The 15,339-nt window shown below is 49.2% G+C and overlaps 1 protein-coding gene and 1 long non-coding RNA gene across 3 annotated transcripts, besides 3 other annotated features; one reads left to right on the forward strand and one right to left on the reverse strand.

The window, feature by feature from the left end:
• Window positions 1,937-2,438: an enhancer, noted in NCBI's record as "H3K4me1 hESC enhancer chr20:3039761-3040262 (GRCh37/hg19 assembly coordinates)". NCBI's record gives its function as "activates a minimal SCP1, AML or CMV promoter by ChIP-STARR-seq in naive H9 embryonic stem cells {active_cell/tissue: H9 hESC(naive)}" and the evidence as "EXISTENCE:reporter gene assay evidence [ECO:0000049][PMID:30033119]".
• Window positions 2,439-2,938: an enhancer, noted in NCBI's record as "H3K4me1 hESC enhancer chr20:3040263-3040762 (GRCh37/hg19 assembly coordinates)". NCBI's record gives its function as "activates a minimal SCP1, AML or CMV promoter by ChIP-STARR-seq in naive H9 embryonic stem cells {active_cell/tissue: H9 hESC(naive)}" and the evidence as "EXISTENCE:reporter gene assay evidence [ECO:0000049][PMID:30033119]".
• LOC101929098 (uncharacterized) lies at window positions 11,456-15,121 on the reverse strand. Of its 2 annotated transcripts, none has more exons than XR_430278.4 (2): window positions 15,019-15,121; window positions 11,456-12,236 (listed from the first exon to the last, which is right to left on the reverse strand). It is a non-coding gene; the product is annotated as an uncharacterized LOC101929098 (long non-coding RNA). The 2 variants fall into 2 exon arrangements; XR_007067503.1 differs by lacking the exon at window positions 15,019-15,121 and adding an exon at window positions 14,378-14,445.
• OXT (oxytocin/neurophysin I prepropeptide) lies at window positions 14,442-15,339 on the forward strand. The gene is made up of 3 exons (NM_000915.4): window positions 14,442-14,597; window positions 14,899-15,100; window positions 15,185-15,339. Exons 1-3 carry the CDS (start codon window positions 14,478-14,480, stop codon window positions 15,238-15,240), a joined length of 378 nt encoding a protein of 125 aa, NP_000906.1. The 5' UTR covers window positions 14,442-14,477; the 3' UTR covers window positions 15,241-15,339.
• Window positions 15,108-15,217: a silencer, noted in NCBI's record as "silent region_12613". NCBI's record gives its function as "represses an Ori minimal core promoter by ATAC-STARR-seq in GM12878 lymphoblastoid cells {active_cell/tissue: GM12878}" and the evidence as "EXISTENCE:reporter gene assay evidence [ECO:0000049][PMID:35858748]".

The following is a 15,339-nucleotide window of genomic DNA, read 5'->3' on the forward strand; positions in this document are numbered from 1 at the left end:
AAGACCAGCCTGGCCAACATGGGGAAACCCCATCTCTACTACAAAAATCAGCTGGGGCGCGGTGGCTCACGCCTGTAATCCCAGCACTTTGGGAGGCCGAGGCGGGCGGATCACGAGGTCAAGAGATCGAGACCATCCCGGCTAAAACGGTGAAACCCCGTCTCTACTAAAAATACAAAAAAATTAGCCGGGCGTAGTGGCGGGCGCCTGTAGTCCCAGCTACTTGGGAGGCTGAGGCAGGAGAATGGCGTGAACCCGGGAGGCGGAGCTTGCAGTGAGCCGAGATCCCGCCACTGCACTCCAGCCTGGGCGACAGAGCGAGACTCCGTCTCAAAAAAAAAAAAAAAAAAAAAAAAAAAAAAATCAGCTGGGCATGGTGGCAGGCACCTGTAATCCCAGCTATTCGGGAGGCTGAAGCAGGAGAATCGCTGGAACCAAGGAGGCGGCGGTTGCAGTGAGCTAAGATCGCACCACTGCACTCCAGCCTGGGCAACAAGCAAGACTCTGTCTCGGGGAAAGAAAAAAAAAAAGATTTGTACACTTTGTGAAATTTTTACTCAAGAAAAGTGAAGGAGAAATATTTCCCAAGGAGAAGATGACACAGTGAAGTGTGACTGCATAAATTTGGCCACGAAGGTAGAAAGGGCATCACATGAATGCCCGGTCTTCTGTAAATATGTGTGTTGTTCTTATAGTAATACCAAAACAGTTTGTCTTTTTTTTTTTTTTCTTTTTTTTTGAGACTGAGTCTTGCTCTGTCACCCAGGCTGGAGTACAGTGGTGCAATCTCAGCTCACTGCAGCGTAGACCTCCCAGGCTCAAGCGATCTTCCCACCTCAGCCTCCTGAGTAGCTGGGACCACAGGCGCATGCCACCACTCCTGGCTAATTTTATATTTTTTTGTAGAGACAGGGTTTCACCATGTTGCCCAGGCAGGTCTCAAACTCCTGGGCTCAAGTGATCTGCCCACCTTGGCCTCCCAAAGTGCTGGGATTATAGGCATGAGCCACTGAGCCTGGCAGATTGTCTTTTCACCAAAAAAATGATGGACAAGTTACTGTACCTTGCATTCTTTATCTCTAAAAAGGAGACATGTTGCATGGTGAACCTCTGAATTTTGGAGTCAACACTGGCCACATTTGAATGTTCTGCTCGTCAGGACTAGAAGTGCTGCCAGCTTTGAGGGGCATTTAGGGCAAGAGAAGACAGCTTAAGAGATCCAGTTGCAAGGCAGGCCACTCTGTACTTTGGGCCTTATGATCCAGTAGATCCAGTAGAACTGGTACTCAAGATGTCCACAGTTAACCAGAATGCTATGTGGACCTGTAGTAAGCTTCAGTGGATACTCACATCAGAAGTCCCTTGGGTTTGTTTTTTGTTTTTTGTTGTTGTTGTTTGTTTGTTTTCCTTTTTTATGTTGAGACGGAGTATCATTCTGTCACCCAGGCTGGAGTGCAGTGGAGTGATCTCGGCTCACTGCAACCTCCGCCTCCCAGGCTCAAGCAATTCTCCTGCCTCAGCCTCCTGAGTAGATGGAACTACAGGTGTGCACCACCACACCTGGCTAATTTTTGTATTTTTAGTAGAGAGGGGTTTCACCATGTTGGCCAGGCTAGTCTCGAACTCCTGACCTCAGGTGATCCTCCCACCTCGGCCTCCCAAAGTGCTGGGATTACAAGTGTGAGAAAATATATACTTTTTTTGTTTGTTTGTTTGTTTGAGACAGAGTTTTGCTCTTGTCACCCAGACTGGAGTGCAGTGACATGATCTCGGCTCACTGCAACCTCCATCTCCTAGGTTCAAGCAATTCTCCTGCCTCAGCCTCCCAAGTAGCTGGGATTACAGACGCCCACCACCATGCCCAGCTAATTTTTGTATTTTTAGTGGAGGGTTTCAACATGTTGGCCAGGCTAGTCTTGAACTCCTGGCCTCAAGTGATCCGCCCACCTTGGCCTCTCAAAGTGCTGGGATTACAGGCGTGGGCCACCGTGCCCGGCTGAGTATACTCTATTTTTATTTGTCAATTATACCTCAATAAAGCTGGGGGAAAAAAACTGAAAAAATACTGGTCATGAATTATTTTTCTTTGGTGGGGCTACCATTCTCTCCCACTCCACTGGCTGTGTGGAAATAGCCCACACATCGGTTGCAGGTGCAGAGGACATCTGAGGACAGGCTCGCCCTGCCCACCACCATTGCCACTGGTGCCCGAGCATGCCTTCCAGGGCCTGGGGATCAATCCATCCTATCTGCCACTGCCAGTGCCCATGCACACCATCTGGGGGGCTGAAAACAGGCCTGCCCTGCCCTTCACCACCACCATTGCTGCCAGCACCTGTGCACATCATCCAGGGGCCTGAGATTCAATCTGCCCAGCCCACCACCATCACCACCCGTGTGCACCATCCAGGGGCCTAAGGGTCCCACCCTACCTACTGATGTCAATGCTAGTACCCATGCATGTCATCCAGGGGTCTGGGGGTTGACCTGCACTGTCAGCACACATGCACGCCTTCCAGGGACCTGAGGATGGGCTCACCCCACCTACTGCTGCCGTCCATGTGTACTGTCCAGAGACCTAGGGATTGATCCACCCACTTCACTGCCACTGGTGTGCATGCCACACATGCACACTGTCCAGGAGCCCAAGGACAGGTCCACCTTGCCTACCACTGATTCCTGTGTGCATCTCCCAGAGGCCCAGGCACTGGCCCACCCAGCCTGCTGCTGCCAGTCAGTACCAGCACGCCACCCAGGGGCCTGGGGACTGGCCCAAACAGATTGCTGTTACCACCACCCTGTCCAAAAAAAAAAAAGACCCAATTGTATGCTGCCTATCAGAAATTCACTTCACCCGTAAAGACACACATAGACTGAAAATGAATAGATGAAAAAAAAATTCCATGCAATTCCATAAAATTGGGGAAAAAATGACTGTTATAAGTGACTGATATCCTGCATGCTTTTATTTATTTATTTATTTATTTTTTGAGACGGAGTTTCGTTCTTGTTGCCCAAGCTGGAGTGCAATGGTGCGATCTTGGCTTACTGCAACCTCTGCCTCCTGGGATTACAGGCACCCGCCACCACACCCAGCTAATTTTTGTATTTTTAGTAGAGACGGGGTTTCACCATGTTGGCCAGGCTGTACTTGAACTCCTGACCTCAGGTGATCTGCCTGCCTCTGCCTCCCAAAGTGCTGGGATTACAGGTGTGAGCCACCACACCGGCCTTGCATGCTTTCAGTTTCCAATCATTTGGAAGCCAAAATTATTGGAACAGTCATTAATAGCCTACTATATAACAACAAATGCCTACATCAAAAAAAGTAGGAAGACTTCAAGTAAACAACCTCATGATGCTCCTCAAGGAGCTAGAAAAGCAAGAATAAACCAAACCCAAAGGAAAGAAACATAAAGATCAGAGCAGAACTAAACAGAATAGAGACTAAAAAAGGGAAACAAAGGGTCAATGAAATAAAAACTTGTTTTTTAAAAAATATAAACAAAATCCACAAACCTGTGCTTGGTGTGTGAGAAAAAAAAAAAAAAAATCAATAAGCCACTACCAGGACTAACCTAGAAAAAAAGAGAGAAGACCCAAATAAAATTAGAAATGAGAAAGGAGACATACAACTGATATCACAGAAATACAAGGGATCATTAGAAACTATTATGAACAACTATACACTAACAAATTGGAAACCCTAGAGGATATCTATGAATTCCTGGACACAAACAACCTACCAAGATTGAACCAGGAAAAAAATAGAAAACCTGAAGAGATCAATGATGAGTAACCACATTGAATCAATAATTAAAAGTCTCTCAACAGAGAAAAGCTCAGGACCAGATGGCTTTACTGTGGAATTCTACCAATTTATAAAGAACTAACACCCATTCTTCTCAAACTATTCCTAAAAATTGAAGAGAATTTTTTTCTAACTCATTCTATGAGGCCAGCGTTACCCAGACACCAAAACCAGACTAGGACACACACAACAACAAAAGAAAACTACAGGCCAATATACCTGATAAACATAGATGCAAAAATCCTCAACAAAATACAGTTGATCCTTGAAGAATGTGGAGGCTATGGATGCCAAAACCCTGCACACTAGAAAATTCACATATAACGTTTGACCCCCCCAAAACTTAATTACTAATAATTAAGTGAAAGGCCTTTACAATGAAAACTATAAGACACTGATAAAAAAAAATTGAAGTCCGGGCGCCGTGGCTCACACCTGTAATCCCAGCACTTTGGGAGGCTGAGGCGGGTGGATCACAAGGTCAGAAGTTCGAGACCAGCCTGGCCAAGATGGTGAAACCCCATCTCTACTAAAATAAATAAAAAATTAGCCGGGCGTGGTGGCAGGCGCCTGTAGTCCCAGCTACTCCGGAGGCTGAGGCAGGAGAATTCCTTGAACCTGGGAGGCGGAGGTTGCAGTGAGCCGAGATCGTGCCACTGCACTCTAGCCTGGGCGACAGAGCAAGACTCCATCTCAAAAAAAAAAAAAAAAAGAAAAAAAATTGAAAAGGATACAAACAAATGGAAAGGCATCCCATGCTCATGGATTGGAAGAGTATTGTTAAATGACTGTACTACTCAAAGCAATCCACAGATTCAGTGCAATCCCTATCAAAATACCAATGACATTCTTCACAGAAATAGAAAAAACAATCTGAAAATTTGTATGGAACCACAAAAGATACTTAATAGCCAAAGCAATAATGAGCAAAAAGAACAAAGCTTAGAGGTACCACACCACCTGACTTCAAAATTTACTACAAAGGTGTAGTAATCAAAACAGCAGGCTATTGGTATAAAAATAGACACAGACCAATAGAACAGACTGGAGAATCCAGAAATAAATCCATGTGTTTACAGTCAACTGATTTTTGACAAAGGCATCATGAACAAACACTGGGGAAAGAACATCCTCTTTAATAAATGATGCTGGGAAAACAGGATATCCATAGGTAGAAGAATAAAACTAGACCCCTATCTCTCACAATGTACAAAACTCAACTCAAAATGGCTTAAAGACAAACATAAGACCTGAAACTATAAATCTACTAGAAGAAAACATAGGGAAAACACTTCAGGACGTTGGTCCAGGTAAAGATTTTATGGCTAAGACTTCAAAAGCACAGTCAACAACAACAACAACAACAAAATAGACAAATGGGAATACAGTCAACTAAAAAGCTTCTGAACAGCAAAGGAAGCAATCAACAGAAACAACCTGTAGAACAGGAGGAAATCTTTACAAACCATTCATCTGACAAGGGGCTAATATTCAGAATATACAAGGAATTCAAACAACTCAGCAGCAAAAACATAAACAATCCCAGTAAAAAGTGGGCAAAGGGCTGGGCGCGGTGGCTCACGCCTGTAATCCCAGCACTTTGGGAGGCCGAGGTGGGCGGATCATAAGGTCAGGAATTTGAGACCAGCCTGGCCAATAGGGTGAAACCCCGTCTCTACTAAAAATACAAAAAATTAGCCGGGCCTGGTGGTGTGCGCTTGTAATCCCAGCTACTCGGGAGGCTGAGGCAGGAGAATTGCTTGAACCTGGGAGGCAGAGGTTGCAGTGAGCCAAGATCATGCCTTTGCACTCCAGCCTGGGTGACAAAGCGAGACTGTCTCAAAAAAAAAAAAAAAAAAAAAAAAGTGGCCAAAGGATCTGAATAGATATCTCAAAAGAAGACACGCATGCTTGAGCCTAGAAGTTGGAGGTTATAGTGAGCTATGATCGTGCCACTGTACTCCAGCCTGGGCAACAAAGTGAGACTCTGTCTCTAAAAAATAAAATAAAAGGCCGGGCACAGTGGCTCACACCTATAATCCCAGCACTTTGGGAGGCCAAGGCGGGCAGATCACAAGATCAGGAGATGGAGACCATCCTGGCTAACACGGTGAAACCCCATCTCTACTAAAAAATACAAAAAAAATTAGCCAGTCGTGGTGGCAGGCGTCTGTAGTCCCAGCTACTCAGGAGGCTGGGGCAGGAGAATGGCGTGAACCCGGGAGGCGGAGCTTGCAGTGAGCCAAGATTGGGCCACTGCACTCCAGCCTGGGTGACAGAGCGAGACTCCATCTCAAAAAATAAATAAATAAATACCCTGCCCGGCCGCCGCCCCGTCTGGGAGGTGTACCCAACAGCTCATTGAGAACGGGCCATGATGACGATGGCGGTTTTGTCGAATAGAAAAGGGGGAAATGTGGGGAAAAGAAAGAGAGATCAGATTGTTACTGTGTCTGTGTAGAAAGAAGTAGACATAGGAGACTCCATTTTGTTCTGTACTAAGACAAATTCTTCTGCCTTGGGATGCTGTTAATCTATAACCTTACCCCCAACCCCGTGCTCTCTGAAACATGTGCTGTGTCCACTCAGGGTTGAATGGATTAAGGGCGGTGCAAGATGTGCTTTGTTAAACAGATGCTTGAAGGCAGCAGGCTCCTTAAGAGTCATCACCACTCCCTAATCTCAAGTACCCAGGGACACAAACACTGCGGAAGGCCGCAGGGTCCTCTGCCTAGGAAAACCAGAGACCTTTGCTCAGGTGTTTATCTGCTGACCTTCCCTCCACTGTTGTCCTATGACCCTGCCAAATCCCCCTCTCCGAGAAACACCCAAGAATGATCAATAAATACTAAAAAATTTTTTTAAAAATAAATAAATAAAAATAAAATAACATAAAAAAAGACATACAAATGGCCAACAGGTATATGAAAAAATTGCTCAACATTAGTAATCATCAGAAAAATGCAAATAAAAATGACAATGAGGCCAGGCACAGCGGCTCACGCCTGTAATCCTAGCACTTTGGGAGGCCAAGGCAAGCGGATTGCTTGAGCTCAGGAGTTCAAGACCAGCCTGGGCAACACGGTGAAACCCCCATCTCTACAAAAAATGCAAAAATTAGCCAGGCATCGTGGCTCACATCTGTAATCACAGCTACTTTGTGGGCTGAGGCACGAGAATCACTTGAACCCGGGAGGCAGAGGTTGCAGTGAGCTGATCATGCCACTGCACTCCAGCCTGGGTGACAAAGTGAGACCCTCTACAAAAAATACAAATATTAGCCAGGCGTGGTGGTGCGCACATGTAGTCCCAGCTACTCTGGAGGCTGAAGGGGGAGGATCACTTGAGCCTGGGTGGTCAAGGCTGCAGTGAGCTGAGATTGCACCACTGCACTCCAGCCTGGGCAACAAAGTGAAAAGAAAAAAAAGAAAAACAATAAACAGGAATGAAACAGGAATGAACTACTGTAACCGCCCAACAGGTTCACCTTACCCACTGCCTAGACAGCCAATTTATCAGGACAGGGGAATTGCAATACAGAAAGAGTAATTCACTCAGAGCCAGGTGGGCAGGAGACAGAAGTTTCATTATTGCTCAAAACAGTCTCTCTGAGCATTCAGGAATCAGAGTTTTTAAGAATAATGTGCTGGGTGGCGGGGCAGTCATTGGGTCAGGAGTGTTTATTGGCTGGGGTGGAGAAGAAGCTGTCCTCTTGCATTGAGTGAGTTCCTGGGTGGGGGCCACAATATCAGATGAGCCAGTTTATTGATCTGGGTGGTGCTAACTGATCCATAGAGTGCAGGTCTGCAAAATATCTCAAGCACTGATCTTAGGTTTGACAATAGTGATGCTATCCCCAGGAGCAATTTGGAGAGGGTCAGAATCTTCTAGCCTCCAGCTGCATGACTCCTAAACCATAATTTCTAATCTTGTGGCTAATATGTTAGTTCTACCAAGGCAGTCTAGTCCCCAGGCAAGAAGGAGGTTTGGTTTGGGAAAGGGCTGTTACTGCCTTTGTTTTAAACTATAAACTATGTACTAAGTTCATCCCAAAGTAAGTTCAGCCTACGCCCAGGATTGAACAAGGACAGCGTGGAGGTTAAAGCAAGATGGAACTGGCTAGGACAGATCTCTTTCACTGTCTCAGCTAGAATTTTGCATCGGTAGTTTCACTACTGATACACAAAATAACTTGGATGAACCTCAGAACGCCAGACATAAATGATCAAGTACTGTATTGTTCCATTTAGGTGACATTTCTAGAAAAGGCAAATCTTTATCAGTGGTTTCCTGGGGGCTGGGGTGGGAGCCAGCAGTAAGGCAAATGGGCATGGGGGAACTTGACATGGGGACAGAGTATTCTAAAACTGGATTGTGGGAGTGGCTGGACAACTGTTTGAATTTACCAAAAATCACCAAACAGTACGCTTAGAGTGCGTACAAATTACGATCTGTAAATTGCACTTCACTGGAGTTTTTTAAATAAAGAAGTTCAAGTTTCAGTCCCTCCCTTACATGTCCTTTGGCATCTGGCACACTTCCTCCTCCGTGAAACCCTGTCCTCAGACCCCTGCTTGTTTCCCCCTACCTTGCTTAGAGTGGGATCCTTGGTCCTCTTCTCCATCTGTCCTGCCCCAGGGTGATGTCACTCTGGTGGGGCCTTTAAATATTGGTACTGGCTGGGCGCGGTGGCTCACGCCTATAACCCCAGCACTTTGGGAGGCCAAAGCAGGCAGACCACCTGAGGTCGGGAGTTTGAGACCTGCCCGACCAACATGGAGAAACCCTGTCTCTACCATAAATACAAAATTAGCTGGGCGTGGTGGTGCATGCCTGTAATCCCAGCTACTCAGGAGGCTGAGGCAGGAGAATCGCTTGAACCCGGGAGGCAGAGGCTGCAGTGAGCTGAGATTGTGCTATTACACTCCAGCCTGGGCAACAAGAGCGAAACTGTCTCAATAAATAAATAAGATAAATAAATATTGGTACTGACCATTGCTTCAGCCTAGACCTCTCTCCTGAACTCCAGACACACCTCCAAATGCCTGCTCAGGTTCTTCTTGGATGTGTAGCGGGCATCCCAAACATGACAGGTCCGCACTGAGCCCCTGCTCTTCCCAACTCAAATCAGTGCCACCCTCAGGTTCCCATGCCAGCTGATGGCACCTTCATCCTTCCCATTGCTCAAGCCAGAAATCTTGTTTTGTTTTTGTTCTTGTTTTTGAGACAGAGTCTCGCTCTGTTGCCCAGGCTGGAGTGCAGTGGCACCATCTCTGCTCACTGCAACCTCTGCCTCCCGGGTTCAAGTGATTCCCCTGCCTCAGCCTCCTTAGTAGCTGGGACTACACGCACACGCCATCATGCCTGGCTAATTTTTGTATTTTTTAGTGGAGACGAGGTTTCACCATGTTGGCCAGGCTGGTCTCAAACTCCTGACCTCAGGTGACCCCCCAGTCTTGGCCTCCCAAAGTGCTGGGATTACAGGCATGAGCCACTACTCCTGGCCCAGAAATCTTTTTTTTGAGACAGAGTCACTGTTTCACCCAGGCTGGAGTGCAACGGTGCTATCTCAGTTCACTGCAACCTCTACCTCCCAGGTTCAAGTGATTCTCCTGTCTCAGCCTCCCGAGTAGCTGGGAATACAGGCATGAGCCATCCCACCCGGCCCAGACCAGAAATATTGAAGTCATCTTCGACTCCTCTTTTTCTCTCCCACTCACATCCAATCCATCAGCAAACTGCAGTTGGTATCTCCTTTAAAATGCACCAAGAATCAGGTCACTTCTCGACACACACATTGCACTCCCATTACTCACAGGGATTGCTGCATAGCCTCCTCCCTAGTTTCCCCACAGTCTTTTTTTTTTTTTTTTGGAAGGAGTCTCGCTCTGTCGCCCAGGCTGGAGTGCAGTGGCACGATCTTGGCTCACTGCAACCTCCACCTCCCGGGTTCAAGCGATTCTCCTGCCTCAGCCTCCAGAGTAGCTGGGACTACAGGCGCCAGCCACCATGCCCAGCTAATTTTTTTGTATTTTTAGTAGAGACGGAGTTTCACCATGTTAGCCAGGATGGTCTTGATCTCCTGACCTCATGATCCACCCACCTCAGCCTCCCAAAGTGCGGGGATAACAGGTGTGAGCCACCGCGCCTGGTTCCCCACAGTCTTGTCACAGCACTATATCCAAAGTTATCGTAAGCTGGCTCAGAACTCCCTCTCATTCCCCCATTTCATTTGGAGGAAAAGCCCAAGCCCTGTGAGGTGCAGTCCCACGTTACCTTTCCGATCTCGGGAGTTCAGTCACTCTGCTCCAGGACCACTGGCCTCCTTGCTCCTTGAACATGCCAGGCACATTCCTGCCTCAGGACCTCAGCACTTGTCATTTCCTCCCCTCCATTACAGGCAGAATGCTAAAGTGGATCCCTGAAATTCTCAGCCCCTGGTATCTTTCTGTGGATTACACAATGATTACCTTTGTGTAATCTTTTCTGGCTTCATGTGGGTAGAACCCATAGCTTTTTTTTTTTTTTTTTGAGACGGACAGAGTCTCACTCTGTCACCCAGGCTGAAGTGCAGTGGCGTGATCTCGGCTCACTGCCACCTCCACCTCCTGGGTTCCTCCACCTCCCGAGTAGATGGGACTAAAGGCTTCCACCACTGCGCCCGGCTAAATTTGTTTGTATTTTTTTTAGTAGAGACGGGGTTTCACCATATTGGCCAGACTGGTCTCGAACTCCTGACCTCAAGTGATCCACCCACCGCTGGCCTCCCAAAGTGCTGGGAGCCAGCGCGCCCAGCCAACCACGCTCCAGCCTGGGCCACGGAGCGTGACTCAGTCTCAAAACAAAAACAAAAACAGGCGTGGCCCACTGTGCCCAGCCAACTTTCTTCTAAACATTAGAAGAAGATGACAAAGGTGATAACCACGACTATACTACGTTATATGGCAAAGGTGAGGGGATTCTGCAGATGTAATGAAGACACCTGATCAATCCGAGTTAAAAGGGTGGTGATCCGTGTGGGTCTGACCTAATCAGGTCAGGTGCCCCTCAGAAAAGGACTCCCTGTGTGCTTAGACTTGAAGCAGCAGAGACTCTCTCTGTTCCTGACCTTGAAGAAGCAGGCCACCACGAGTTTGACAGCTGCAAGGAAATGAATTCTGCTAACAATCACCCGGGCTCTGGAAATGAATGCAGCCTGGCTGACACCCTGATCGTAGCCCCAGAGCAAAAGACCCAGCTAAGCCATGCCTGGCCCAATGTAATAAGCAAATGTTGTTTTAAGCTGCCAAATTGTGGTAGCTTTTGTGTTTTTGTTTTCGTTTTGAGACAGAGTCACGCTCCGTCGCCTAGGCTGGAGTGCAGTGGCATCATCCTAGTTCACTGCAGCCTCGAACTCCTGGGCTCAAGTGATCTTCCTGTCTCAGCCTCCCAAGTAGCTGGGACTGCAGGTGCATGCCAACAAACCCAGCTAATTTTTTAAAAACATTTTATAGAGCCTGGGTCTCCCTATGTTGCCCAGGCTGGTCTCTAATTCCTGGGCTTAAGTGATCCTCTCGCTTCAGACTCCCAAAGTGCTGGGATTACAGGCACAAGCCACCGTGCCTGGCCTGTGGTAATTTGTTACACAGCAACAGAAAACCAATGTCCCCTCAGATATCTGCATGGTTTATTTTCTCTTCTTCACAAAGAAGTCTACACTGACCACCCTCGGTGAAATCGCAACAGGCCTCCCTTTTATCTCTGTAGCACTTACTAATCTACTGCAATATGTATGTTGTTACTGAAGTATGTTTATTGTTTATACTTGTTTCCTAACTAACTGAAATGTGTTTATTGTTTAACATCTCTCTTCCTCCACTAGAATATAAGCCCCATGAGGGCAGAGGTTTTTGTGTTTTGTTGCTGCTGTTTCCAGGCATTTGTAATGGGACCCGGAGCATCTTCAGAAGAGGGGTTGTTGAACAGGTGAAGGGATGCAGCCCATCTGGGGGACATAATACTATGGTAATTTATGCACATGTGTTAGCTTAAGTGAGGTCATCGTGCCCACAGAGCAGGTGAGAGACCTCTCTGGGCCACTGCTGGGTCAGGCCCTTGGACTTCTAGGCCCTGAATGCCAATAAGCTAATCTGGGTGAGAGAGGACTGGCTGCTGATTTGTAATGCAGGTCAGCCTGACCGGCTCCTGGGTGCTGGACAGCTCATGCCAGTGACTCATGCCAGTGACTAGGGTCAGATGAGCTCTGTGACCTGCTTGGCCCCATCAGCCTCTTCACCTTCCTCAACAAGAGGGCAGGAGAGTCTGGAGCTGTCCCGTTCTCTTCTCCCAGGGGTCGGGGACTGGCCCACCAGTGAGGCTGGTCTCTCACAGTGCTTCTCATTTCTTCCATTCTGCCTCAGGTTGGGTTCCCTACAGGTTGGGTTCCCTAGAGAGCAGACGGAGATGGTTTCACAAAGGGGGTTTTTATTACAGAAGGCCCTGGGGACCCACACCTTTGGGAGGGAGGGGTCAAAAATAGGAGTGAGCAGAGGGAGAACTGCTATGCAGACCACAGCTGACCCCATAGGGAGCTCTGGAGCCAAAATGCTCCTTCAGAGTTATCCTGCATTTGGGCCAAAATGGACCAGTCATTGGATGCGGGCCACCTGGGAAGGGTGTGACCCTGAGCCAGGCAGCTCTCTGCAGCTGAAGCAGGCTCTCGAGGAGCTACCCCTGAGGGCCACCTGCAGAGGGCACTCCCAGCAGCTGGGTGGCAGGTGCTTTCACAAAGGGAGAGTTGAGCAGCGCCTTTCCTTTCTTGTTCATGATATCTACCAATACCTCTCCCACTGGGGTAATCCATCTTTTCTTTTAATTATTTTCCTTTTGAGATATATTAAAAATGCAAAAAAAAAAATTTTTATTTTTTTGAGACGGAGTCTCGCTCTATCACCTAGGCTGGAGTGCAGTGGCATGATCTTGGCTCACTGCAACCTCCGCCTCCTGGGTTCAACTGATTCTCCTGCCTCAGCCTCCTGAATAGCTGTGATTACAGGTGCCTACCTCACGCCCAGCTAATTTTTGTATTTTTATATTTTTAGTAGAGATGGGGTTTCACCATGTTGGCCAGGTTGGTCAACCACCACGCCCAGCCAAAAAAAATTTTAATGTCGAAAATGAGAGAAATAGAATTACAAAAGAAACCAATTACAGGGCCAGGCACAGCAGCTCAAGCCTGTAATCCTAGCACTTTGGGAGGCTGAGGCGGGTGGATCACCTGAGGTCAGGAGTTCGAGACCAGCCTGGTCAACATGGTGAAACCCCCGTCTTTACTGAAAATACACAAATTAGCCAGGCGTGGTGGTGCATGTCTGTAATCCAAGCTACTTGGGAGGCTGAGACAGGAGAATCGCTTGAAACCAGGAGGTGGAGGTTGCAGTGAGCCAAGATGGCGCCCGCCATTGCACTCCAGCCTGGGCGACAGAGCGAGACTCCGTCTCAAGAAAAAAATATATATATTTATATTCAGATATCAAAATGTTAAAACACTTTTTTTTTTTTTGAGACAGGGTCTCGCTCTCGCTCTGTCACTCTGGCTGGAGTGCAGTGGTACGATCACAGCTCACTGCAGTCTTGAATTCCCAGGCTTAAGCGGTACTCCTGCCTCAGCCTCCCAAGCAGCTGAGACTACAGGAGCACACCAACACGCCCAGCTAATTTTTGTATTTTTTGTAGAGTTGGGGGTTCTCGCTATGTTGCCTAGGCTGGTCTTGAACTTCTGGTCTCAAGTGATCTGCCCACCTCAGACTCCCAAAGTATTGGGATTGCAGGCGTGAGCCACAGCGCCCAGCCAAAACACATTTTGATGGTGTCATAAACGTGCTTCTTTAACCATTAGATAGCAAGATCTGGTCGTGGCCCAATAACTGTGATAATTTTGAAGATATAATGAATCTAAACAGTATATAGAGGCATTTGTGACAGCTGTGATAGGAAGTTATCTTCTATTTTGATTTGTGACAAAGCCACAGGTATTGCTAATTCTGCTGTGGTTTGTTGCCTAATTTATAGTGAAAGGAAAGGTGGAATATCAGTTACAGATTAGAGACAGATGTGATCTCTTCCTATCCAAGTTTCAGGTGCAGGGAAGTGGGTGTTGCTGTGTGGTGAGGGTGAAGAGGTTTTCTGGAAATTTGGGTTTAGGAAGAGGAAATGTTCCTAAAAGAGGGGACAATGATCCACATGCGTGGTGGGCCAAGAGGGTGGGCGGATCCTGCCAGAGCCTCCTCCCACCTGGAGGGGTCCCAGCGTCCACCTTCCCTGCCCCAGCCCCCCTCCTCGAGGTACTGGGAGGCTGGATAAAGTCTTCGGCTGGGCCACACCCCACCCCAAATTCTCCCTGTCCCACCCTAGTGGCCCAGGCCACCCCGGCCTGCTCCCTTCCGCAAGGCACCTCACCTTCTGTGCCCAGACCATTAGCCAACGCGGTGACCTTGACCCCGGCCCAGGCCCTGCTAATGAAGAGGAAAGCCCGTACGCACTCGGCCTGACCCACGGCGACCCTCTGTGACCAATCATACTACCAACCTCTTAAACAGAGCTCCACCGACGCAATGCCCAGGCATAAAAAGGCCAGGCCGGAGAGACCGCCACCAGTCACGGACCCTGGACCCAGCGCACCCGCACCATGGCCGGCCCCAGCCTCGCTTGCTGTCTGCTCGGCCTCCTGGCGCTGACCTCCGCCTGCTACATCCAGAACTGCCCCCTGGGAGGCAAGAGGGCCGCGCCGGACCTCGACGTGCGCAAGGTGAGTCCCCAGCCCTGGTCCCGCGGCGCTCCGGGGAGGGAGGGACCCGCAGCCACAGGGGCGCGCCCCGCTCCGGCCTCGCCTGAGAACTCCAGGAGCTGAGCGGATTTTGACGCCCCGCCCTTGACCGCGGTCGAGGCCCCCACGGCGCCCCAGCGCGTCTCAGCCCCGCTGTCCCGCCCGAACTCCGAACCCCGGACCCCAGCATCCTTGCCCGGCGCACCCCGGCCGGCCTCGCAGGGTCCTCCGAGCGAGTCCCCAGCGCCGCCCCGGCTCCCGCTCACCCCGCCCGTCCCCGCAGTGCCTCCCCTGCGGCCCCGGGGGCAAAGGCCGCTGCTTCGGGCCCAATATCTGCTGCGCGGAAGAGCTGGGCTGCTTCGTGGGCACCGCCGAAGCGCTGCGCTGCCAGGAGGAGAACTACCTGCCGTCGCCCTGCCAGTCCGGCCAGAAGGCGTGCGGGAGCGGGGGCCGCTGCGCGGTCTTGGGCCTCTGCTGCAGCCCGGGTGAGCGGGGCAAGGCGCTCCGGGGCCAGGGGGAGGCGGGCGGGGGTGCGGCCGGGATTCCCCTGACTCCACCTCTTCCTCCAGACGGCTGCCACGCCGACCCTGCCTGCGACGCGGAAGCCACCTTCTCCCAGCGCTGAAACTTGATGGCTCCGAACACCCTCGAAGCGCGCCACTCGCTTCCCCCATAGCCACCCCAGAAATGGTGAAAATAAAATAAAGCAGGTTTTTCTCCTCTA

This window comes from Homo sapiens, chromosome 20, assembly GCF_000001405.40.
Source record: "Homo sapiens chromosome 20, GRCh38.p14 Primary Assembly".
NCBI classification, from domain to species: Eukaryota; Metazoa; Chordata; class Mammalia; order Primates; family Hominidae; genus Homo; species Homo sapiens.

Coding starts and splice junctions, on each gene's coding strand:
- OXT (NM_000915.4), top strand. CDS start 14,478: ATGGCCGGCCCCAGCCTCGCTTGCTGTCTGCTCGGCCTCCTGGCGCTG. Junction 14,598..14,898: donor CGGACCTCGACGTGCGCAAG/GTGAGTCCCCAG, acceptor CCGTCCCCGCAG/TGCCTCCCCTGCGGCCCCGG. Junction 15,101..15,184: donor GGGCCTCTGCTGCAGCCCGG/GTGAGCGGGGCA, acceptor CTCTTCCTCCAG/ACGGCTGCCACGCCGACCCT.